The following is a 26,898-nucleotide window of genomic DNA, read 5'->3' as shown; positions in this document are numbered from 1 at the left end:
ACTTCCTACTCATTCCTCAATTCTGGCCAAAGGGAGTTTGTCCCCACTCAAAATTGTACTGTGATTCTCAGTTGGGAGCTCTCTCAACCTGTGACCACAACCTGAGTTAGTTGACAGACTTCCGCAAGGTCCCTTGTGATATAGGATTAGGAGTGACTTTTCTCTGTCCCTGCTGGAGTCTGGGAGTGCACACAAACCATGTCCAGATGCTGCTCTTTCTCATGTGTTTCCCACTGCTCACTAAAGCAGCTCCAGTACTGGGTAGGGTTAAGGCATTTCCCCGTGGTCTGGATTGCCAGGTTTCCCAGTGGGTGTATATATCCCAGAGGCAGTTTCTCCCCACTCACACTCTGGGGACTCATGGTTTTTCACCTGGCTCACAGGATAGGCTGCTGCCCACCACTTTTTTCAAAGGGTTTATGGTTACTTTTATTTTTCTGTTAAGTTTCTGTGTTGCTTCTTGTAAACAAATTCACAGTGTGTCTCTCTATTCACTATATTGTCTTTTCAAGTGGGAGAGGCATGCTAGCAATGCCTCTGATTTGCTGTCCTGGGGAAGAAACTTATCTGGCATTTAACTGAAGAGAGAAAATGAATGTTTAATTTGTCAGTAGTTGTAGTTATAGTTTAATTTTGGTTGATTTATTATTGTGAAATTACACTTACACATTACTTCTTTTTCACTAACAAAAAATCCTCCCTCCTTCCTTCCTTTCCCAGGCCCCACTCTACTCCCTCTCTTCTTCCCTTTCTCCTTTTCTCCATCTCTCTCTCTTCCTCTCTCTCTCTCTTTCTTTATTTCTACCTCTTTCTTCCCTTTTTCTCACTTTTCCTTGCTTTCCTCTCTCTCCCTCCCTGCTTGCCTGCCTTCCTCCCTTCCTCCCTTCCTTCCTTCTTTTCTTCCTTCCTCCTTCCTTTCTTCCATCCTCTTTAATTTCTCCTTCTTCTTAATATATAAACATGATAAGTATTCTAGAAGACCTAATTCAGTTTTTTCTTAACAGCTTATCAGGAAATTACTGGTAGCTTTTTTTTCTCCTCAGCAAACATATAAGCTAATTTCCTCCATCCAACTTGTTACATTTTCTCCAGGAAGACCCACTACGTTATGTGAGACTATGGGGAAAGCTGAAATTTGGTTAATCCGAACATATTGGGATTTTGAATTTCCTCGTCCATACTTACCTAATTTTGAGTTTGTTGGAGGATTGCACTGCAAACCTGCCAAACCTTTACCTAAGGTAGGTCTACAACAGTGGAGGATTTTATGCTCTTCATAATAAAATACTTAATTTTCTTTTAAAGTTTATAGCCTCAATAACAAATAAATGCTGCTGGACATTTCAGTTTGCTACTCCACATCTATTTTCCTTGTGATAGAGGTCTCCTACAAGTGATATTAGGTGTTTTGAACTTTACATTGACAATTTAAACTGAAGAATAAAATGATTAAAGCTGTGTGTTACAAATATCAGTGTGTCTACACCTTGATACTGGACTTGGTGGGACAGAAAACCAGATCATAGAAATTACGAAGGATACTGCCCTAGTCTTACCAAGCCACATAGCATTATGAACAGTAATATTTACCAAATTTCTTGAGAGATAAAGATGTCTTCATGAAAACTGTTGGGTGAATTCCATTTAACTTGGTGAGTAAGAGGTCATTATTGAAGAAAGACAATGAAATAAGGCAGGGCTCTTAGGTTTTAATCTTGAGAATTTATTAGACAGTTGTGCCATCTACTGTTAGGAAACAATTGGTTAAAAAAAAAACTCTTTTGAGTTGACAATGGTGAGTTTAGTTTCTGACCTATTTACTGTAAGGAACAAAAAGGAGTTTTGGTAATTTCTAGAAATCATTTAGGTAGTACAAAGTGTAAATTCAAGCAGGAAGCATTAGAAATAGATTCAGATTCATCAGCATAAAGTAGCTATTATAAAACTGAGAGATACAAATGTTGTATTGGTTCTTTATAAATATAGTGTCAGGTTTTATGGCATGAGAAGGAAATTGTATGCTACAATATGAAGTCTTCAGAAAAGAAATGTGGAATATAAGAAATGTTATACAGAAAAAGTGTTGAGAAGCAAAATAGAGTACAGGTACACATGGTAGGAACAATGTATTTAACTATCAATAAGGAGTGAGGAAACAGGCTATTATTTACTTGGTTTATACACAAGCAAATGTAATCTTTTTAGAAAGTTGCAGGTTCCTATAAGAGTACTAAATTTCTGTTTATAGTAACAGACATATTTAAGTTTAAAATTTTATTTCAGGATTCTAAAAATTTTATTTCAGGATTTTCTGGCCAGTCAAGTTATGGCTGCAGGCAAGCTCTAGTGAATGTTTATTATAGGAAATAATGTACCAATATCTAAATAAAGACACAGAAATATTCATGACGTATCCATAGGTCACTGGATAATGACCCATGACACCCTATTATGTTTTTCCTCCCAAACCCACTTTTTACACAAACACACACATATACACATATTCTCACAATTTCACAAAGACAAATCAGCCATGTTTTACAATAGCAGACATTATGCCATTATGTATTCAATCAATATAAATATCGATATAGGCTTTGGGAAATATGAATACCAACCATGGGTTATATTGCTGATGAAATAATTACGCCAATCACTGGGTACACAGAATACAAAAACAACAAGAGACTGTCAAATGAAAAATCCATATCAGTATGATAGATGTGTACGTTTGTGTGTATGTGTATGTTTGTGTGTGTGTGTGTGTGTGTTATTTTAATGAATTAATATCTGTTTGGAAAATAAATCAAAATGGCAAAGCACCAATTCCTGGGACTTCAGAAATATTCTCCTGACATTAACTAAGCCAAAAATAGCAATCTATTTTCACTTAAGATATCACCCTCCCCTAGTTATTTGGCTAGTCATAAAGTGATACATCAGTGATTCCAGTGTGATCCCAACAAATATTTGCACAGGGAATGCAGGATACATCTGTAGAAAGTAGCATTCATATAGATATGATGTGAAAGGCCTTAATCTCAGATTTTGCAGTGTCAAATTTGCAAAACTATAAGTAATTACCTAAGGAATTTTATTGGCAGACAAATTTATATTTTAATTTTGCTTTAAGGCTCAAATTAAGGGCACATAGCTAACATCACACTCATGGCAGCTTATACATCAAGAAGAAAGAGATGCACTGTCTCATACGCATCATTGTGATTACAGTTGGAGATGCACTTTGTTATCCTGTTCTAAAATATGTTACAATTAGATGCCATTTTAAACAAATTTTTTCTTAGACCTATGAATCAAAGGAGGCATACAGTTGAGAAAATGATCTTGAATGCTTAACAGGAACCGATAAATTTATTAATAATTTTATTAGATATAACTGGAATGCTAACAATTTTAAAAGCCTAGCTCAGTATCCTTTGTTGGGCTTCCCTCCAAAAACTGTTTTTATGAGTTTGCAAACAACCCTGTTGATTGGTTAAATTAAGCCTTGGGGGTAACAATTTCAGTTAGCATGAGAAGAGTTGTCCCTTATTTAGTGTTCATTTCTGTAATGGTTTTGCTTTCATGCTTGGACTTGTAATCACTGATTATATATTTAAGTTATACATTTCAGAGACGTGTTTCCTCTTAAGGAGACTATTTCTGACTGGGCACAGTGGCTCATGCCTGTAATTCCAGCACTTTGGGAGACCAAGGCAGGTGGATCACTGGAGGCCAGGAGGTGGAGACCAGCCTGGCCAACATGGTGAAACACCATCTCTACTAAAAATACAAAACTCAGCCAGACACGATGGCATGAGACTATAATCCCAGTTACTCAGGAGGCTGAGGTGTGAGAATCACTTGAACCGGGGAGGTGAGGTTGCAGTGAGCAGAGATCATGCCACTGCGCTCCAGCCTGGGCGACAGAGCGAGACTCTGCCAAAAAAAAATATAGAAACTAGATCTTTCTACATGTCAGAAGACAGACAGTTCAACAGTTTCTCTGACATATATCTTAATTTTACCTACTTAAATGTGTAAGTAAACTTATTTTTTCTTATGATGCTACACCTTTGTAATAGAAAATATATTATGTATGCAGGAAATGGAAGAATTTATCCAGAGCTCAGGTAAAAATGGTGTTGTGGTGTTTTCTCTGGGATCAATGGTCAAAAACCTTACAGAAGAAAAGGCCAATCTTATTGCCTCAGCCCTTGCCCAGATTCCACAGAAGGTCAGTACAGCCTGGAATCCTGGTACACAGCTTTTTACTAATGGGAGAGACAATGCAGCTAGTAATGTTCTTTCCATATGAAAATCAAAACTCATTATACACTGAGTATCACTAGTAACAGTTGTAAGTAACGTTGTGTAATATATTAAAATTGTGTACATTAGCACATTGAATCATTTGCCTACTGAGCCTTGGCATTATTTTAGAAACACATACTTTTTTGAAGTCATTTATTTTTAATGGAATAGAAATGAAAACTTTAAGCCCCTACTGACCTTTTACTATTTGAAATTTTTTGTTCTCCACTGACTACTTTCAAAAGTTTTGAAGTTTGTTAGCTCCATGGTCCAGGAAAAGAGAGTGTAAACACAAAGCAGGGAGAAATTATGCTAAAAATATAATTCGAATGTCTAGGTTTTATTACAACTCTATCAAAGTGTAGTTGGTTTAGAAGTAGAAGCCTCAATTCACTTAGCCTTTCTAAGTTGAATATTCTCTAGCTAAAAACAATTAAAATTCAAATATTATAGTCCAACAACATGCAATTTCTGACTTATGTTATTCAATTAACCTTAATTTTTATCTCTACAATTTTGCATTTCTATTCTTTTTATACTTCTATTCATGACACATCCTAGGACTCTTTATATTTATGTATTGTTTAAAGCACATAACACTCTTCATGATTTTTCCCCTTCATGTTGTGATTGATTAAACTGGTACTGTTTACGTTCTATTTCTTCACTTAAAATCTAACTTCCAAAAGCTTTTAAGTGATAAATATCAAAACAATAATACTATACTTGGTAGACTATTAGTACAAGACTTTACAAAAAGGTACATATAAACAGTCCTACTACGTATCTCAACGTTTGTAAACTACTGCTTATGTAATTCCCGTCTTCCAAGTAGCTGGCTAAATGATTTCTAAATAATTCTCCCAACTTAAAATGTCCTCATTGTGTTTTTCCTTGCAAAATTAAAGCACCATTTTCCACAGGTTTTATGGAGATACAAAGGAAAGAAACCAGCCACATTAGGAAACAATACTCAGCTCTTTGATTGGATACCCCAGAATGATCTTCTTGGTAAGACTGTGGGGAAAGAAAAGCTGTACAGTGGGACAATAGACAAGTTAAGTAACTGTTTAATAGCAAATAAATTCAATACATTTTTAATAATTTAAAATGTTATTTGACACTCAATTTTAAAGCAGATATAATTACATAATTGGCCATTAATTTTATAGACTCAGGCTTCCTCTGGTTCACAAAAGAGCATTTTCAGTTAACATTAATCACACTTCAAGTTTCATTTTCAGTTCAGATATCATCTCCTCAGTAATATATTCCCAGAAAATGCAAATGCTGTTAATTACTGCTTTTCCTGGGATCACAGTTTTCTGACATTCCAATGCCCTATGTGATCTGCTTTTGTAGAAAACGTATCCTTCTTTAGAGAGTTACATTACAGCTTTTTGACCCCTTCTGTCTCTCAAATTCTGCTAATGTGTTATTATTACACACCCACTTCTCACTCCATCCTCAAATTAGGACATCCCAAAACCAAAGCTTTTATCACTCATGGTGGAACTAATGGGATCTACGAAGCTATTTACCACGGAGTCCCTATGGTGGGAGTTCCCATGTTTGCTGATCAGCCTGATAACATTGCTCACATGAAGGCCAAAGGAGCAGCTGTGGAAGTGAACCTAAACACAATGACAAGTGTGGATTTGCTTAGCGCTTTGAGAACAGTCATTAATGAACCTTCGTAAGTACTAAGGCTCCTAAAAACTTGCCTAACTTTAATTACATTATTCATAATACCAGAAAATGTACATTCTTTTATACTTTTGTAATTATTTTCCAATAACAACCATAACCTGACCAATATAAAAACTATTTTATTTGCCAAACTGCTAAAGTGATTTGCTGAAATCAGAAAAATAAGAAAATCCTAAGACTTCAAATATTGGCCGGGCGCAGTGGCTCAAGCTTGTAATCCTAGCACTTTGGGAGGCTGAGGGTGGCAGATCACAAGGTCCGGAGATCGAGACCATCCTGGCTAACACGGTGAAACCCTGTCTCTACTAAAAATACAAAAATTTAGCCGGGTATGATAGTGGGCGCCTGTAGTCCCAGCTACTCAGGAGGCTGAGGCAGGAGAATGGCGTGAACCCGGGAGGTGGAGGTTGCAGTGAGCCAAGATTGTGCCACTGCACTCCAGCCTGGGCAAAAGAGCAAGACTCAGTCTCAAAAAAAAAAACAAACAAAAAAAAAGACTTCAAATATTATTTCAATATTTTTCAAAATAAAGAATGCTATGATTATATAAATTCTCATTTTTTCTGGATAATCTGCTTAATATTATAAACTAATTAGTAAGTATGTACATATTATAAACTAATCAGTAAATACAAAATTGAAATGATAATACGCTCAGTAATAAGCATTCAGAAATAACTATTCACACTGAGTATATACCATTCGATACCTTTAATTAGTATATGTATACACACAGAGAGAAAAGATATAGGGTAGTGGATAATTTTTTAAATATTGATTTGTACTATGTGATATTTTAAATAAAATTTAAGTATAATTTTATCTGATTCAGCTTTTAGATTGAAATGAATCTATAAAATATATTGAGTTATGTATACATAGCTTAGTATATTATATATATAAGTCTATATATATAGCTTAGTAGATAGTGTGTGTGTATATATATTGTGTCTTATTTTTTTCTCTGAAAGATCTCACCAAAGTAATATGATATATGTATATGTAATTTTGAGTCTTTATTTTTGATGATGTGTTTTAATTTTAGCTACTTATAGTTGAACTCCTGCTTTGAAATGTATCTCTATTTCATTCCAAATTTATATTACTTATGTTGTAATTTTACTTTACCAATATTTATGTCATTTTTTTCTCACATTTACTCTGTTTCCTATATTTTAAGGGACTCAGTGTTCACCGTTGAATTAGAGATTATTTATTCCAAAATATTTAGGATTTATTTCTTGACTGATTATCTCACATGGAATTTTCTTTCAATAAAGACTTGGATATTGAATTCTCTGAGATAATGTTTAGCAATATTCACTCACTGCTTTGTTATGAGAATGACTTTTATCTGAATACAATATATTTAGCTCTTGCTTTCTTTCCTTCAGACCTGTGGAAATATTACTTATGGCCTTCCAGTTTAAATTGTGCTATATGATTTCTGAGTCCTGCCTGACTGTTGTATCTTTTTGCTTTCTTTTCAACTTGGAAAAAGAAATAGTTACTTTTTAAAATTCAGAAACTCAGTTATGGTGTATTCTTACAAATTATTTTATATATTTTTCTTCAATTATACTGTGTCTTTACAACAATGTTAATCTAAGATAAAAAATTATCCAGTTTTTCTTTTCAGAAATTAATTTTTTTTGTATTATTTCTTTGAATGCCTTTTATTTCCATTTTTTATCTTTACTTCTGGAGCACCAGTTTAGTCTTCCCTATGATAAAGTATTTTGGTATGTTTTCCTCTCTTATTTCCTGTCTAATTGTTCTAATCAATTTTTACTATTATTAATTCATTGAGATTGCCTCCAATAGTTCACAAATTAGTAAATTTATTATTTTTACCATGAGCATTGCTTGCTGTTTCTAATTTCTTTATTAATTCTTTCAACTGTCATTTTTAACAACTTGTATCATCAGCTCACCTATCTCCTTATCACTTCCTCTTGCTTTGTAAGTCAATTTTGATATCATATTCATTACCCTCCCGCTATTATTGTATTTTGAATCTCCTCTTCTTTGGACTATATGCAATACCTAAATGCATTTTTAGTTTCTCATTTATTTTTCAATATGTGTAAGTGGTTATCAGGCTGTTATTTTTTCTCGGTCTTGGTGTTTGCTCTGAATTTGTGTGGGTGCTTTAAACTTGCTTTATGTTGTATTGGACTTAATTGTTTTCATGTAGAGTCCAAGCTTGAAGAATAGCTTTAATATTTCATTCACTTTTCCTGAAGGCTGAGATTCAGGAGAGGAGAAGGTAAACTCGGATGGAATTTAGTGCTTTTTCTTAACGGAAGTAACCTGCTTAAAAACATCTATTCAGTGACCTTTGCCAGGCATTTTAGACACGAGGGCTAATGTATTCATTTCAAAAAAGAAAGACACTCAACAGTTGGTTTAGATTCATACCAAGACTCAGCCCTGGTTGTCCACTTTTGCTCCCCATCCACATTCCAATTAATTGACTTTTATTAATACGTACATGTTGTATAAGTCATAATTTTAGAAATCATAATTCATGAGCTAAGTGGTGGGTTAGGAGCTTCAGCAAGGCTCAGTATGATCTTTTTTTGACTTTAATGACTAGTCAATTAGACTATTACAAAGTTGTTAGTTGCTGACAATTTTGTTCATTTTATTAATTATCAGTGTAGGTACAGTCTGTGATTCTCTTTAACTCTAATGCTTAAAATGATGGTTAAATTTTATTATTGACTTGAAAACTGTAAACCAAAAATAAAAATTCTAAGCTTCTCACCCAACCATCCAAATGGACTTCCTCCTCAGCCAGAGGAAGTTAAAATTTAACCTGAGAGTCTGTTTCAGGCCATGATGGGAAATGAGGGTCAAATATGCCTTAGTATACCTCTCTGGCATTAGCATCAACACAGACTTTCAGTCTGATAAGAAACGTTTCACAACCTATTCTCTCTGAAGCCTACTACCTGAAGGCTTCCTCTGCAAATAAGGACTTGGATCTCCACAATCCTTTATCTTAACCCAGGCATTCCTTCCCTTTGATCCCAGGTCTTTAGAGAAACTCAACCAATTGTCAACCAGAATATGTTTAAATTTACCTATAGCCTGGATGCACCCCCACTTCAAGTTGTCCCACCTTTCTAAACCAAACCAATGTATTTCTTAAACATATTTGATTAATGTCTTATGCCTTCCTAAAATGTAAAAACCAAGCTGCACCCCAGCCACCTTGGGCACATATACTCAGGACTTCCTGAGGGCTTTATCATGGGCCATGGTCACTCATATTTTGCTACAAATAAATATCTTCAAATATTTTAGATTTTGATTCATTTCATTGACAAAACTATTGATGCAAAAAAATGAGAACTATAAATACTGTTAGAAATTTCTAAATAAATGCCTAAAAATTATTTAATTTAAAGTAACTTCACTTTAACCCTAAACCAAATACCACCTCTGGGAACACAAGGTATAGTGTAGAGTATATATATGGATGTGTTTGTACTCCATTCTGTTATTCATTAAAGCAATTAATAAACATTAACAATTACATTTGAATAGACCATTGTAATTTAATTATTCAGAATATTTTAACATATCAGTCATAAAACATTAGTGTATAATAAAACATGAAATAATAAATTTATGAGCATGGTCTTTGTCCCACATCATTTATAGGAAAACATGCTTTCTTCTTCTTATTTTTTGATTCACATGTACAAATTTATTTATTGCCTAAAGTATATTCGGATGATCCATGTGAAATTACTTACTTATATTCTTTTTCACTAGACAGACAGACACACAAACACACACACACACACACACACTCAACACATGTAAACTACTCCTGCTGCTGAATCTAGTTGTACCATGTTCTCTTGTAAATGATGACCATGTTCCCCATTCCCCAGTCCTAACAATGTCCTGCCAACACCGGGACATCTCTGCACAAACCATTTACCTTCGCTCATCTTCATGAATCCAGGCTGGAACTTTTCTTCCAGACACAAACCAAAATGAAACCTACTAATTTTGGTTTAACAACTAGGGAAACTGCAAGTGAAGACACAGTTTGCCTTTTAAATATGTAGATATCCACCCAATATTGTTTGAGAAGCCATTAGAACTGTTATCTCTGTTACTATCTCTATTGTGATGGCAAGTTGATTTAGAGCTCTAATTCTAGGGAGATGTTTCAATTGAAACATCAAAGTTCATGTACTTGGATATGCCACTTCTTAAATCACCAGAGTATTTTTGTTCAGTCTTCATGTTACAGATACAGACACTGTCCTTTTCGTCACAAACATACAGATGTGTGCCACAGAGTAATTATCACAATGCCTACATCTTAGAACTGTAAAATGACTCACTAATGCTGACTGCCAATTTCCTTTGTCTGTCATATGAACTAGCCAGACACTAGAGGATATGTTTATGTATGTCTTAAATGATTTTTATCCCACAGTATTAGGTTATGTACCATCTTGGTATTGGAACCATCCTACAGTATAGCTCACACAGTATCAAAATTATTTTTGGAAAAATTATGCTAAACATCTATATTTACAACTGGCTTACTCTACTTTTTTATGTCTACATTTGATCATACTGTGTTAAGCATATATTTCATCCATATCTTCCTTTTTGTAACTCTTAAAATCCTATACAACTAACAAAGTTCATGCAAGAATTATATTTTCTCCACGTAACTATGGCCTTAAACTTGTAGAGCAAAAGTGTATCACATATTTATCTTCAATGAAAATAAAAACAAAAATTGTCTAATTTCTGCCTATTTATTTGTCTTCTAGTTATAAAGAGAATGCTATGAGGTTATCAAGAATTCACCATGATCAACCTGTAAAGCCCCTGGATCGAGCAGTCTTCTGGATCGAGTTTGTCATGCGCCACAAAGGAGCCAAGCACCTTCGGGTTGCAGCCCATGACCTCACCTGGTTCCAGTACCACTCTTTGGATGTAATTGGGTTCTTGCTGGTCTGTGTGACAACGGCTATATTTTTGGTCATACAATGTTGTTTGTTTTCCTGTCAAAAATTTGGTAAGATAGGAAAGAAGAAAAAAAGAGAATAGGTCAAGAAAAAGAGGAAATATATATATTTTTAAGTTTGGCAAAATCCTGAGTAGTGTAGTCCTATTAATTCCAGACAAAAGGAGTTTAACAAAAACACGTCTCCCATCCTGTTTCCAAATTTTCTATTTCTCTACCTGCGATAAGCCTACTGATAAAGCCTAGATTTTGGCATGATTATTATTAACTTGTGAGTTATAGTCTTCTATTTTTCCTTTGTCTCTCCCTGCTGACTATACCCTCTTCCTGTCACTTTTCTGACACAAGGATACTACCTAATTTTAAATATGTTCTATTCATAGTATCAAATTATTTTATCGTTAACCTTAATTAATGATTAACAATATGCTGAATCCTGGTAATGCATACAGTGTAGATGGAATTTGATAGGTGTAAGGAAGAGTCAAATTCACAAATTTCCATATACCAAACAAATCAGGGAGCCACCGTAGGAGAGTAGTGTGTTATGAGAAAGGTAATGATTTCCTTTTTTAATAAAAACAAACTCTTCTGCTTGCTCAATGTTTCAGGAGTTAGAGAATGAATTTTAAGTGTGACGTGCGTCCCTATTAAATGTCTACAAAATTTTCATTAAGCATATCTAGAAAATCACGGCATAACTTGCCTGCCTTTCTTCAACATATATTCTTATATAACCTGTAGTGGAAGATTTGGGTACTGTCTTTAATAAATCAATCAATCGACTCTTTTATTTCAAGGAGAAAGTTCTATGTTATATGTTGAAGGTGAACAGATCATATTTAGAGGATATAACAATTAGAAATCTAGAAAATAATTATCATTTTTATAAAATTTTTAGTCAACTGTACAAATAATTACATAAAACATCAATTAATTATGCTTAAAAATCACTAATGTTCATAATATATAATCACTATTTGTAATCAAAAGTTTAATTTTATGCCAAAAAATAAAAAATGCTTACTTGGAATTTGATATCATTGCATTATTTTTGTCTTTATCTTCCACAAATTTTAATTTATCAATTAATTGTTATGCTATGTATATAAAAGACTAAGAGCTTCACCAAGGATATGGCATAATAAATGTTTATCAACGGAAAGCATAGTTGAAGGCAAATACTTTTACTTGATTCAGCCTTGCATTAATTTAATAAATATATTAAAGATTTTGCTTTCTTTACCCTTTATAAATTTAATGACATTTCTAGCTAAAGTGTTAATTTCAATATTTGAAATTGAGAAGATAAATTACATTCGTTGCCTTAGTGATATTTTTGAAATTCTTCTTTCTTTCACTGTTTCTTTTTTCAATTTTATGTTATTTTAAGTTCCAGGATACATGTGCAGGTTTGTTACATAGTAAACGTGTGCCATGGTGGTTTGCTGCACCTATCTGCCCATCACCTAGGTATTAAGCTTAGCATGCATTAGCTATAGGCATATAGCTAGGCATATACTCAATTTTAATAGTTTGTAAAATCTAGAAATATAGCCAAACATAGAGTCAATTGATATTTGACAAGAATGCAAAACTATACAATGGAGAAAAAACAATATCTTTAACAAATACCAGTGGACAAACTGATTATCAGTATTCAAAAGAATAAAATTGAACCCCTTACCTCAAGTCATATATAAAAATGGACTCAAAATAGATTAAAAAAAAACTAAATGTAAGATCAAGAACTATAAAACTCTCAGCAGGAAGAATATGGGTATAGCTTTCTTTCTAACCCTGAATTTTGCAAGGTTTTTAGATATGACACCAAAAGCAGAAGCAATCAAATTAAAATTGATAAATTGGACTTCACTGAAATCAAAATTTTTGTACATCCAAACACCAGCACTAAAGTCTGAAGAGAAACCAGACTTTGGAGGATATAGTTGCAAATTACATACATGGTAAATGACTTGTGTAAGAAATTTATAAAGAAAGCTTACAGCTCAATGATAAAAAAAAAATGACCCAATCCAAAAATGTGCATAAGATCTGAACAGGCATTTCTCTAAGGAATATGTAAATGTCCAATGAGGACAAATGAGCAAATGTAATGTCCAATAAGAACAAATGAAAAAATGCTCTGCATCATTAAGTTCAACATTATTACAGGAAAATTTAAGTAAAAACCACAATGAGATACCACTTCACCCTCACTAACATGGCTATTATCAAAAAGATAAGTAATTAAAAGTGTTGGCAAGGATATGGAGAATTTGGAATCTTCATACTTTGCTTGTGTGTATCAAAAATTATTCAGGCACTTTGAAACAATCTGCCAGTTTATTAAAGTTTAAACAGAGTTACAATATGACCCAGCAATTCTACCTCTAGTAATATACCAGACACAAATGGCAATAGGTCTATACAAAATTAATACATGCATGTTGATAACATCTTAACCAAAACTGGAGAGAAAACTACAGTTCATCACTGATAAATGAATAAACAATATGTTTTAGAATATTATTTGGCAATAAAAATAATAAAGTCTTGATGCATGCTATACCATTAATGAGACTTTTTAAAACATTATACTAAGTATAGATGCCAAACAACAAAGATCCTTCATATAACAATATGTCCCTTCATATGAAATGCTCTTAATAGGAAAATTGATAGAGATAAAAAATAAGTTAGTGTTTGCCTAAAATGCAGGATAAGGAATGGCTAAGGGTACAGTGTTTCTTTTGGTGGGTGATAAAATACTCTAAATCTTGTTGTTGCAGTTGTTGAAAAATTCTATGAATATACGATGAACCACTGAATTGTATATTAAAAACTTTTTTTTTGGAAGACAGGATTGCAATCTCCACCCTTTGCAGCCTCAACCTCCTGGACTCATGCCATCCTCCCACCTCAGCTTCCCAAGTAGCTGGGACTGCATGTGCACACTACCACAGCCAGCTAATTGTTCGTTTTGTTTTTGTTTTTTTTTTGTAGAGACAAGGATTCACTGTGTTGCCCATGTTGATATCAAACCTCTGGGTTTAAGTGACCCACCTTCCTGGGTTTCACAAAGTACTGGGATTACAGACATGAGCCATTGCACCCAGCCATTGAATTGTACACTTTAAATTGATAAATATGTGAATTGTATGTGTACAAATTTTTTACACACAAAAGTATCTTGAACCGTGACATCTAAGAAATGGTAATTCAGCTGTATAATTACTTTATCTCCAGTTCTGTGTCAAGGGGACTGCAGACCAAGAAGTCTCCATTTCTCACTGTACTTGACACTTCACAAACCTCTTATATGACTTAGGTGTCTAGAACACACAAGTTCAACTCTTACTGGGGAGTAAAACACTTGTAATTTTAAAAGACACAGTAACACACACTTGTAAGCATGAGGCCATCTACCTTTTCTTGATCCATTTGTCATCCAGAAACTGTGATTGTTCATATAATGTATTTACTTTGACATTGCTATGGTTGGAATGTGTCCTTTCCAAAATTCAGGTGTTGCCAATGTGACAGATTATGAGGAGGGGCCTCTAAGAGGTGATATTGCCTTCTTCGTGAATGGGATGAAGGTCTTTTTAGCTTCATTCAGCAGGCTTGCTTTTCTGCTACATGAAGATACAGAACTGGTCACTTTTGCCATTCCACTTCTACCATGTGAGAATGCAGCAAGAAGGCTTTCCCTAGATACCAGCATCTTGATCTTTAACTTGCCAGCCTCCAGAACTGTGAGAAAACAATTTCTGTTCTTGGTAAATTGTCCAGTCTCAGGTGTCTTGTTATAACAGCAAGGCTGGGTAAGCCAGATGTGTTGGAGTTTTATTTTAAATTCTTGATGATTTCTCCTTAGTTAGAAGCAACAGATGCATAGAGAAATAAGCATTGCATTTAACTAGACTGTCTATGAAATGAACTTCAGTTTTGCTTCCCCTACAGTTGAGTTGTTACTTTAGGTAGAGGAGTTGTGGAAAGGTGCTGGTAAAATATAGACACTGGATCAATATGAAGTGAATTGAGAACTGGATGAACTCACTTCATATGAAGTGAGTATTGAATAAACTTGTCTAGAGAGGTCATGAGGTGACTGTTCTAGACCTTTGTCTTCCATTTTCCTTGATCTCAGTAGTCTATCTAGTATTAAATTTGAACTTTTTTATACATGTTGCGCTAAAGATGGATTGTAGAATTTTTTGACAGGATAGATCAATGCATAAAAGATGTACCCAAAGATACATTTTGGACAGATATTGCACCACTGCAAAACAATTACAGGGATATTGTGATTGTTATGAAAATCTTTGTAAAAATTTGGTTTTGAACAATAAACTTGAAAACCTACAAAAGTTGAGGTTTGATGTCATTCTTTCACATGCCAGTGGTCTCAGTGGTGAGCTGCTGACTGAGCTACTAAAGCATCCTTTTTTTTCACAGTTTCTGCTTGTTTCCTGACTACATACTGGAGAAGCATAGTGGAGGACTTCAATTACCTCCTTCCTACATGCGTGTTGTTCTGTCATAATTTTTATAATCAAATAACATAAATGGAGAACTGCGTGTGTGTGTGTGTGTGTGTGTGTGTGTGTGTGTGTGTGTGTGTTTTGACTTTTGGTTTCAAACAATCAATAAGAAATGAGATCAGTTTTAAAATGTGCCATCAGAACCTGGTGTGGTGGCCCACGCCTGTGGTCTCAGCACTTTAGGAGGCTGAGGTGGGTGGATCTTTTCAGGTCAAGAGTTTGAGACCAGCCTGGCCAGCAACCTTGTCTCAACTAAAAATGCAAAATTGGCTGGGCGTGGTGGCACATGCCTGTAGTTCCAGCTACTCGGGAGGGCTGCCTCCTCTTGAACCTGGGGGGCAGAGGTTGCAGTGGGCCAGGATCGCGCCACTACACTCCAGCCTGGGCAACAGAGAAAGACTCCATCTCGGAAAAAAAAAAAAGTAAAAATGTGCCATCAAGTTAGAAGTTTTAAATTCATGGTACAAGCATTGCCATAGATGTCCCTGAAAGAAACACACAGATGACTTCTTTTTTGAGACAAGATCTGTGTTGCATAGGCTGGAGTGTGGTGGCATGAGCATAGCTCACTGCAACCTCGACCTCCCAGCCAGTCTCAAGAGATCCACCTGCTTCAGAATTTCATGTGGTTGGGACCACAGGCGTGTGCCACCATGACCAGCTTTTTTTTTTTTTTTTTTTACTTTTGTAGAGAGTAGGGGGAATCTAACTTTGTTGCCAGGTAGGTCTCGAACTCCTGGGCTCAACCGATTTGCCCACCTTGGTGCCCAAAGTGCTGGGGTTACAGGTGTGAGCTTTTTTTTTTTTTTTAAGAGACAGTCTTACTTCATTCTGTCACACAGGCTGGAATGACTTTCTAAAACTGCAGAAAGCAGAACATATTCCTTGCTGTTTATAATACTGTGGTCATACCAAAGGGAAAGAGTATTCCTCCTTAAATAAAATTACAAATAAAAAATTTATGTTTTACTCTTACTCGTAAAAGGTATTGTAGAATACAAAACATTTTTCACACTGGTTTTGTCTTTGGCTTTTATAATCCACACTTCACAAGAAAAAATGCATTTAACTTTTAAGAGTAACTTAGTCAAAAAGTATAACCTTGCTTTGCCTTGCATAACCTCTAGCTATTGCACATGATGTTTTGTTCTTCCCCTTTGTCCAGTATTTTCCACATGGTCAACAGTTTAAATATTTAAGCTTGCACTGAGAAACCTTGCCACATTTCAGAAGTTTTGTTTTGCTTTTGGTGGAGAGCACCTGATCTCGACTTTATAGCCAATGTATTTACTCTAAATTACACTTTTATAGATACAAGGTAAAGTGTAGCTGGGTGAAGGCACTCAGGAACCATAAAATGTGGTCAACTACAATAAATGAAAATATAAGCCAAACAAAGTATTCACACTTTCATTTTTCTAATAAGGAATTTAAGATACATAGTAAAAGTTTAATGCTTGGAAGAGACACAAATTCACGGTGATAAAAATATTAATTAGAAGACACATAACATGCCTCAAGTATATCGACACTTGACTCCACAAACAAGGCATAACCATGAAAACAACACTCTCTTTATTTTGGGCTCCCAAAATCAAAAGTAAGATTAGAACTAATATATTTAATCTATCACAGATATTTAGTATACTCCATGAACTAACATTTTCTTTAAAAAAAAACACTAATATTGTACAATGTTTCTATAGCTGTTGAAAATTTTAGCCTCAATTTGAAACATGACCTGCATGACAGGCTTTAAATTGTCAATAGTTCTGTTTCTTTGGAAAAGTACAGTTGTGACATTTAATCATTTTAGCAGATAGCTAAAAGGGAAAAATAAGGAAAAATATACACTGGACCTGCAGTTAAGTTTTTGACAATGCCAAGGATCAAAGACAGACAAAACAACAGTTGTTGAAGATGAAAAGGTATTGCATTGGTCTTAATAGAGATGTTGCCATCTCTAGGTAAGGATGCTGACTGAGTCTGTTCTGTTTCTTCACCTCTATGTGTTTTCTCTTCTGTGACAGACCTCCAAGAAACAAGATCCATGTAGTCAGCCACACAAGGTCCATTTGACCTTTCTCATTCTTCTCTAGTCTCTTGCCTGTGACTTTTGACAAAAATGCTCAGTTCACAATATTAGCTGCCTGCTTCTGATGGGTAGGAGGTATATAATCAAAATACTCCCACCAAAGCACTCTATGGTCTAGACTTGATACTTAAAATTTAATTTTCAGCTTTCCTCAACAAGGATAGCTTGAGGTAATAGGAGATATTTTGGTAAGTGAAAATGATTCCTGCTTGGAACACAGCTTACTGAACTCAAGATTTCATTTCTTTGAGTATTAGACAGTTCTCAATAAGTTGATGTATACTGAGAAATGATTCTAAAGAAGTTAGTGATATCCTGTTTAGGAATAGATTTAGAAAACTGAAGTTACTTTCCAGCTCTACAATTCTGTATTAGGAACAATAGGGAAATGATAAAGTGCCTCTATATGGCAATCTAGTGAATCTCTGGGGGATGACTGTCTACCTGCATAGTAGTTGAGGAGCAAGACAAACTTCCAAACACACAAAAATCAACTTGAAATAACATCAAATTCAGCCTGGGCAATATATTGAGACCCCATATCTACAAAAAATTAGCCAGGACTGTGGCACACGCCTGTAGTCCCAACTACTTGGGAGGTTGAGGCAGGAGGATCGCTTGAGCCTGAGAGGCCAAGGCTGCAGCCAGGTGCGATCATGCCACTGCACTCCAATCTGGGCAACAGAGAGAGACCCTGTCTCAACAAAATCAAACAAAAGCATCGAATGCATTCCATATTCAGGTTCTGTAACAGTGACATGTCTACTGAATTACTTTTATTTCTTTTAGGAATGTCTATATATATGGATTGTCACTATTAAAAAAAGAACTGTGAGCTTGACAAAGGGAGTAAAATCATACTTTGTTTAAAAAAAAGGAAATGGAATTAGTTTTACAGTGAAGAACTATGTAAGTTTTTAATTGGTATTATGAAGTCCTACCTTTCCTTATGCCTTTTAAGGTAAGTTTATATAAATATAAAATAAAAAAACTGTGTGTTTTATAGGTGAAACGATAAAATTCAAAGATAAAATGATCAATAATCTTACTAATATGGTGGAAAAGCTGCACCGAAAGTTACAGGATCAGCTAGAAACCTGTGGCCATCACTTATACAGGACACTGTAGGAAGTCATACAACTATGAATTAATGAATTGCAAATGTATTTCGGCAATTAGATATACATTTTACCATACATTCATTTTTATCTTATAAAAACCCAGGAGACATCTTCCTAATATCTTGATAAACAAGTACATAGATTTATGAGGCACACATATATTTCTAGCACAGTTGTGTAGCATTGAGGAAATTGCCTTTTCTTGTATAGATCAGTTTCCTTATTTAAAATGAAAAATATTTATTTCATATTACTTAAAGGATGCTTCACAGGTGAGAAATACATTATCTTTTTCTCCAGATGCAAAAAAATCCTATACTTTGAGGTTTTTAATATTTATACATTTCTTTATTAAGTTCTCACAAGTCTGTTTTAAAGACATAAAATCCTGTTAAAGTTTGGACATACATGTAATTAGTCTTTACTTTTTAAAATCTATTTTTCTCCATTTAAAAACTCAGCCAAAACTAAGGGTGAGTACACATCTTCATTTCCATAATTTCTGAAAAAATTCCAACTGATATTTGCAAATATTTCTATAAACAATATTCTTCAGTTATTAACATAACTAAAAGCAGTACATTCACTTGAGACACTTGAGCAGACATTGTCTCAAAAACATCACATTCACTTGAAAAGTCAATGTTCAGGAACCAGTTTGCTAAATAGTAGAAACTAAATAGTAGAAAATAAAATCCTGGGAAACCCGTTTCCATGGATATGTTAAGATTACTTGATTATGCAGCTAAAATAGTTGTTTACATTTATATCTTTAGATAGAAAACAAATGCATATTCAATTTTATAGTGGGTTATTTTAATGACTCGGTGATGTTAGAGACATAGTCTCCCGTCACTTTGCCTTTCATATATATGTGTGTGTATTTGTGTGTATACATATACTATATAACATAAATTATTCACACAAATTATATTATGTCCAAATTAGTATAACTGTTTCATTAATGCACAGACACTGTGTAAAGCATTGCCTGTATTATTCCAACTTATTTTGGAAAATTACACAGTCTATTCACATGACAATTATCTCATTATCCTGTCTTTTACTCAACCAGGGAGACCCACTACATTGTCTAAGACAATGGGGAAACAGAAATATGGCTAATTAGAACCTCATAGTATTTAGTATTTTCTCTCCCAAACTCATCAAGCTTTGATTTTGTTAAAGGACGCTACTGAAAATCTGCTAACCCCCTGTCTAAAATAACTATCATTATATCATTATAGAATAAAGTGAGATGCCTGTAAAACATTAAGAATAGGGTCACTGAAACTAAGGAATTCATTACTCAACACAGAAGCCAGTATAAATCATTTCCTCAAAAACTCTTTATAAAGTGACTAAAATTCACCAGAGGTAAGTGCTGGATTTGCAGAGAAAGAAATTTAGGGACATTTTCTACTCCCATAGACTTTAAAATCTATTTGGAATTGTAGAATAAAAAGCATGTCATAAAATGTGTATAAAATGTTTTAAAAAGAAAGGACCACAATGCTTGGAGAACATTCAGTAGGGATAATAGTAGGTATACCAGCAACACTGATAATAAAACTGAGACCTGAATGATTTGCAGAAATAGGTCAAGTGAGAGGAAGATACAAAATGAAAGCAGGTAGAAGAGTAATGATAGTTCAGTTCCGAAACTCCAAGTTTAGTTTAGCAGGAAGAGGTTGAATAAAGAGGCAGATTTCCTTAGAGAGATAATTTGGAATCAGATAACAGAAATAAATTTGAAATATCTAACAAAGACATTGGGGAGTCAGAGGAAAAAAAATTGAGCTGGGGAAAGATATGATCAGACTTCATTACAAAAAAAAAAATGCCTTAAGATACAGTGCCTGGTTTTAATTGAAGAGGGCCAACACTATGCACAGAAGCATTTAGGAGACTGGTGTAAGAGTTCAGGCAACAGTTGATAAAATTATCAGAGAATATTCTCATCCGAGATGACTATGACTACTCTAATAATAGTACAAATCTTACATTGCATTGTGTGGGAAAAGCAGTTAATAGAGACAAAACTCTTAAAATGTATTTGTTACCTAGTTAGTGATTTGAATTAATGTTGACTGTTAACGTCATTGCTATTTCTTGTTGTTGTTACTAACACTATTAATTTCCTAATATGTGTCAGACACTTCAGATACCATTTCATTCAATAAGGACTGTTATTCCAATAGATTAAGATTATATTCTTAGGTAAATCCGAGAGAAAAGAAATCCTATGTACTTGTTTAAAAGTAAATGTACACATTTTGGCAACACGATGAACAGAATGAAATGCTAAAATTTTAATACAAGAGTTGAGGCACTTTAGCATTATTCTAGCTTAAAATGTACACCATTTTTCAACAGTATAAATGTGTGGCCCCAGCAATATTTGCATCCAAATCCAATGTTTATTGGCTTTCACCCCATGACTAAATCATTCTTTGTTTGAGATCACAGAGTTGTATAACTAAAAGTAAAAAAGAATGATGTTTTATCTTATCAGAGCTGGTATTTTCTGCCTTATGCCATGCCTATAAAACAGCTCAGTAAAGCATCATTGTAAAATTTGCGTCTCAACATCATAGCTGCCTGACAGAAAAAGACAGAGAAAATGTACACTGAGTATATTATAAACATCAAGTAATTTAACCACTTGTATCTGAAAACCATCCTGAAAACTGACTATAAGGAAGAATCAAGAACAGGTGCAGTGGCTCATGCTTAATTCCAGCACTTTGGGCAACCAAGGTGGGAGGATCCGTTGAGCCCAGGAGTTCCAGACCAAACTGGGCTACATAGCAATATCTCATCTCTAAAAACAAGCAAAAAGAAAATTAGCAGGAAATACAGGTACATATCTGTGGTCTTAGCTACTCAGAAGGCTGATTTAGGAGGACTGATTGAGCCCAGGAGTTTGAGGTTTCAGTGAGCTATGATTGCACTTCAGCCTGAGTGATAATGTGAGACCCTATCTCAAATAGTAGAGGAGGAGGAGGAGGAGGAAGAAGATGAAGAAGCAGAAGAAGAAGGAGGAGGAGGAGGAGGAGAAGGAGGAGAAGGAGAAGGAGGAGAAGGAGAAGGAGAAGGAGAAGGAGAAGAGAACAGAACAGAAGAAAAGAAGAGGGAGAGAAAGAAGAGAAGTAGAAGGAGAAGAAGAAGAAAGAAGGAGGAGGAGGAGGAGGAGTCAAGTAGAAGGAAGCCAGGTAGGGAGAGAGGTTCAGATACCCCATAAATTATAGTAATAACTAACTTTCTAATATGTACAATACAGCTTTGATCTAAATATTGTTTTGAATATTTATGAGGTATTCTTTAGTTTTACATCCTATATAGCCTTCCTGTAATCACCTTTACTATTTTTTTGCTGCAAATCTGAAGTTACATTTAATACTTATATAGCAAATATATGTTAAAATGTGTTCATTATACTCTATGAAGATTGTTTGGTAACTCCAAAATCAGTACTTCATTTTGGTATTAGGCATATACCAAATGGCTTAGCTATAGATGACCATAATGATCACTGCTGTCAACGTTTTGTAGTTTGTCACCGAAAAGTTAACAGCAAGTTGAACAAACTTTAGCATCATCACAATTTTGGAAAATTTTCAACTGCCCTATCATTTATGAACTATCAATCAGTCTTTCCTATATTTAAAGAATTTACAATGCTAACAAATATGATAATATTCTGAATATATGTGAAAATGTCACTTGAATTTTTTATGGAAGAAATGCTTAGTAATTTGTAATTAGAAACAAGTTATATGTAATTTCTAAGCAGAATTCATTTAGTTCTCATACATAAATGATTGCATAGATTTGATTTTTTGTAAATCATCAGCTGTCAGACTCTAACTTATGGAATAAGTGAATATAAGTAAATTCTCTCCAATTTAATTGATTTTAAAATAAAAAGCTTAATATTAAATTTGGCAGATGAAAGTGACTATGGTAAATACATTAATTAAAAAGGTGTAGACCATTAGTAATTACTCTGCTTTACATTAGAATTATGACTGCTTAACAATTACTTAAATGCTTGAATTTATCACTTATTATCTTATTTGTCTAAGTCACTATGTGTGAAACATCACGATTGCATTTAACCTAATTTAATGTAAAAATAAATAAAAAATAGGTTGGTGCAAAAGTAATTGAGGTTTTTGACATTACTTTTTAAAAAACTGCAATTACTTTTACACCAACCATTTTATTTATTTATTTATTTATTTATTTATTTATTTATTTATATTTACTTCAGTCTTCTGTAGCTCTGTTACTTAACCTATCCTGTCCTCATATCCTTACCAGCTTTATGGAAGGCATTTATCTCTTTATCATTTTAGAAATCTTACAAATATGCTGTAATTTGAATTTGACTCATATGACAAGGTACTTTTTTTTTTTAAACTTTCACTTTAAGTTCAGGGGTACAAGTGATGGTTTGTTCCACAGGTAAACTTTTGTCATGGGGGTTTGTTGTACAGATTATTTCATCACCCAGGTATTAAGCCTAGTACCCACTAGTTATTTTTCCTGATCCTCTCCCTCCTCACAACTTCCACCCTCTGAAAAGCCCCAGTGTGTGTTGTGGCCCTCTATGTGTCCCTGTCCTATCATCGTTAGAGTCCCTTATCTGTATGGTTCTACGGAAATTTGGTGACAGGAAATCAGATACGTTAGTACCAATACTCAGCTGTACAAGTGGGTATCAGCCAAACAGGATGAAAATGGTTCAACAGAAAACTGTTTCACCATTTATTATTTAAAAACTCAAAATCTAACTTCGTTACATTAATATTCCAGTCCTGGGGAAAAACATGATAAACTACAACAGTTAGCATTTTATCATACACAGTCTGGCCAAGCTTGAGGAGCCCTTCAGCCCACCGCTACACAGTGGGAGCACCTCTCTGGGCTGGCTGAGGCCAGAGCTGGCTCCCTCTGCTTGCGCGGAGGTGTGGAGGGAGAAGTGCGGGTGGGAACCTGGGCTGGGCAGGGCGCTTGTGGGCCAGCGCGAGTTCTTGGTGGGCGCCGGCTCGCGGCCCCACACTTGGAGCTGCTGGTGCCGCCCGCCCTGGGCAGTGAGGGGCTTAGCACCGGGGCCAGCAGCTGTGGAGGGTGCACCAGGTGCCCCAGCACTGCTGGCCTACCCATGCCGTGCTCCAATTGTCACCCTTCAGCCGCCTTCCCACGGGGCAGGGCTCAGGACCTGCAGTCTGCCATGCCTGAGCCCCTCCCCAGGGAGCGCCACCCTCTGCTTCATGGTGCCCGGTCCCATCCATGGCCCAAGGTCTGAGGAGTGTGGGTGCACGGCAGGTACTGGCAGGCAGACCTGCCCCGCGACCTCCCAGCGGGATCCACTAGGCAAAGTCAGCTGGGTTCCTGAGTGGGGTGGGAACTTGGAGAACTTTTATGTCTAGCCGGAGGATTGTAAATACACCAATCGGCCCGCCCTCTTTGTCTAGCTCAGGGTTCGTGGATGCACCAGTCAGCACTCTGTATCTAGCTAATCTGGTGGGAACTTATGGAATTTTTATGTCTAGCTGGAGGATTGTAAATGCACCAATCAGCACTTTGTGTTTAGCTCAAGGTTTGTAAATGCACCAGTCAGTGCTCTGTGTCTAGCTCAAGGTTTATAAATGTACCAATCAGTACTCTGTGTCTAGCTAATCTAGTGGGGACTTGGAGAACTTTTGTGTCTAGCTGAAGGATTGTAAATGTACCAATCAGCACTCTGTGTCTAGCTCAAGGTTTGTAAATGCACCAATCAGTCCTCTGTGTCTAGCTAATCTAGTGGGGACTAGGAGAACTTTTGTGTCTAGCTAAAGGATTGTAAATGCAACAATCAGCCCTCTGTGTCTAGCTCAAGGTTTGTAAACACAACAATCAGCACCCTGTCAAAATGGACCAATCAGCTCTGTGTAAAATGGACCAATCAGCTCTGTGTAAAATGGACCAATCACTGCTCTGTAAAATGGACCAATCAGCAGGATGTCGGTGGGGTCAGATAAGGGCATAAAAGCAGGCTGCTGTAGCCAGCATTGGCAACCTGCTCAGGTCGCCTTCCACCCCGTGGAAGGTTTTTATTTCGCTCTTTGAGATAAATCTTGCTGCTGCTCACTCTTTGGGTCTGTGCCGCCTTTATGAGCTCTAACACTCACTGTGAAGGTCTGCACCTTCACTCCTGAGGCCAGCGAGACCACTAACCCACCCAGAGGGATGAACAGCTCCGGACAGGAGGAACCAACGGATCCAGATGCGCCGCCTGAAGAGCTGTAACACTCACCAGGAAGGTCTGCAGTTTCACTCCTGAAGCCAGCGAGACCATAAACTCCGGACACAGCATCTTTAAGAACTGGTAACACTCACCGCGAGGGTCCGCAGCTTCGTTCTTGAAGTCAGTGAGACCAAGAACCCACAAATTCTGGACACAATATTATTTACGGCCAGAAACAAACTACCTTTATTTCTAGTGTTGTTACATTGCATAGATAATTTTTCAATAATATTCTGGTTTGTCTGTCTCCTACTTTGAATGTTACACCTACCCTTTCTCCTAATATATAAATATTTCAAATACAACTAAAAAAAGCAGCTCTTCTTTTATTATCAGTGACTGTATTTTCTATGGGAATAAATCCCCAGTCTTTATCATAAGGTGTTAATGCATTTTGTGATGGAGTATGGCCTGTCCTTCTATTCAAGCACCACCACCACCCCACTCCCTGCTGCCCTGGACAACATCCCCTATCACACTCAGTGACTTTACTATTTCTCTAAGAGATCATGTTCCAGTATGCATCCTGCTTTTGGGGGGCTGGAGTGGGGTATATGCAGTTTTGTTTATCCACAGTGTGCTCTATTTGTCCACTTGACAATCTTCTATTCATTTCTCAAGCCTCAAGTCACATACCACTTGTGGAGCCTTCACTTAAAGCCCCAGAGGTGCTTCTTCCTCTGAGATCTAAAGCAATTTTAATGCAGTTTTACTGTAACAGTAATTTGTTATCTAGAGAACACTGCCCGTTTCATTGCCTCATATTGTGCATTGCTCGTTTTATTTCTAAGACTTATAATGAGTAATTATTCAAATATTCATCAAATCCTTGATCATCCAAAAACCAAAGCTTTCATAACTCATGGTGGAGCCAACGGCACCTATGAGAGGATCTACCATGGGATCCCTATGTGGAGGGGGCTTCCTTTGTTTGCAGATCAACCTGATAACACTGTTCACATGAAGGCTAGGGGAGAAGCTATCAGACTGGACACAAAAACAATGTCAACTACAGATTTGCTCAATGCATTAAAAGCAGTCATTAAAGATCCTTCATGAATGTACAGGGTTTTTTTAAACTACATAGCATGGATTGATGAGTTCTTACATGAAGACCGAGGGAGCAGCAGTGACTCTGAACATGAACACAATGCTGAGTACATGTATGTATTTTCTAATGCTTGAAGACAATAGTCAATAAACCATTGTGAGTGTCACAATCTGTTTTGTGTGTGTGTATGTGTGGTTTTAGTGGAAACATTTGTCAGAGGTTTTAGGATAGTGCATCAGTTATGAAATAACTGAAAAGTGAAATAAGAGAAATTGCTGATGATGGTAACAGAAGGATTATGAGGAAAATTGAGAACAAACCTGAAGCTGGGAGCCATGAATGTCATGACAGTACTGACTAATTTATGCAGGTCTTTCCGCATTAGAGCTCATCAAATGTTCATTTTAAATAAATTTTATTTTGTATATTGAAGACATACAAAGTGATGTTATGGGATACAAATACATAGTAAAAATTGTACCATAGTGAAGCAAATAAACATACAGGATTTCATATTAGTTACACATTTTCCCTTATGTTTAAAACTCTTTAAAACTAATTCATTTTCATTAAATTAGCATGACATAATCAAACTCTAATTCCCATTATATTTAATGCCTTCCAAAGTTTTTATGCTAACATTTTGTTCCTATCACTGATAAATTGTAAACTACCAGAGCTTTCAAACTTGACTTTTTAAAATTATTATAAAAAGAAGATACTAGTATAAATGTAGCTATATTCTTTGTTTTTATAG

At 35.5% G+C, this 26,898-nt stretch overlaps 2 protein-coding genes and 1 pseudogene across 7 annotated transcripts in view, besides 1 other annotated feature; all 3 read left to right on the top strand.

Annotated features, from left to right (window-relative positions):
* Positions 1 to 12,070, top strand: part of UGT2A1 (UDP glucuronosyltransferase family 2 member A1 complex locus) — a 64,831-nt gene extending 52,761 nt beyond the window's left edge. For 3 of the 5 annotated variants that reach the window (NM_001301239.2, NM_001252275.3, NM_001252274.3), the window contains 4 exons: positions 1,093 to 1,241; positions 5,238 to 5,325; positions 5,791 to 6,010; positions 10,836 to 12,070. In NM_001301239.2, the coding sequence (NP_001288168.1) occupies positions 1,093 to 1,241; positions 5,238 to 5,325; positions 5,791 to 6,010; positions 10,836 to 11,115 (737 nt within the window). In that variant the 3' untranslated portion in view covers positions 11,116 to 12,070. Of the gene's footprint in view, positions 1 to 1,092; positions 1,242 to 4,105; positions 4,238 to 5,237; positions 5,326 to 5,790; positions 6,011 to 10,835 lie in introns of all 5 variants that reach the window. The other 2 variants (NM_006798.5, NM_001389565.1) reach the window with 1 other exon arrangement.
* The window catches only part of UGT2A2 (UDP glucuronosyltransferase family 2 member A2), a 51,226-nt gene extending 39,156 nt beyond the window's left edge, over positions 1 to 12,070 (top strand). The window contains exons 2-6 of one of the 2 annotated variants that reach the window (NM_001105677.2): positions 1,093 to 1,241; positions 4,106 to 4,237; positions 5,238 to 5,325; positions 5,791 to 6,010; positions 10,836 to 12,070. In NM_001105677.2, coding sequence (NP_001099147.2) covers positions 1,093 to 1,241; positions 4,106 to 4,237; positions 5,238 to 5,325; positions 5,791 to 6,010; positions 10,836 to 11,115 — 869 coding nt within the window. In that variant the 3' untranslated portion in view covers positions 11,116 to 12,070. The remainder of the gene's footprint in view (positions 1 to 1,092; positions 1,242 to 4,105; positions 4,238 to 5,237; positions 5,326 to 5,790; positions 6,011 to 10,835) is intronic. The other variant, NM_001301233.1, reaches the window with a different exon arrangement.
* Positions 5,809 to 6,009: a silencer, noted in NCBI's record as "peak5055 fragment used in MPRA reporter construct". NCBI's record gives its function as "represses an SCP1 promoter by STARR-seq MPRAs in K562 erythroleukemia cells {active_cell/tissue: K562}" and the evidence as "EXISTENCE:reporter gene assay evidence [ECO:0000049][PMID:32103011]".
* LOC100422024 (UDP glucuronosyltransferase family 2 member B7 pseudogene) lies at positions 14,960 to 26,146 on the top strand (annotated as a pseudogene).

The sequence above is a fragment of the Homo sapiens genome, chromosome 4, assembly GCF_000001405.40.
Source record: "Homo sapiens chromosome 4, GRCh38.p14 Primary Assembly".
Lineage (NCBI taxonomy): Eukaryota > Metazoa > Chordata > Mammalia > Primates > Hominidae > Homo > Homo sapiens.
This window is presented reverse-complemented; position numbering and strand designations above follow the sequence as displayed.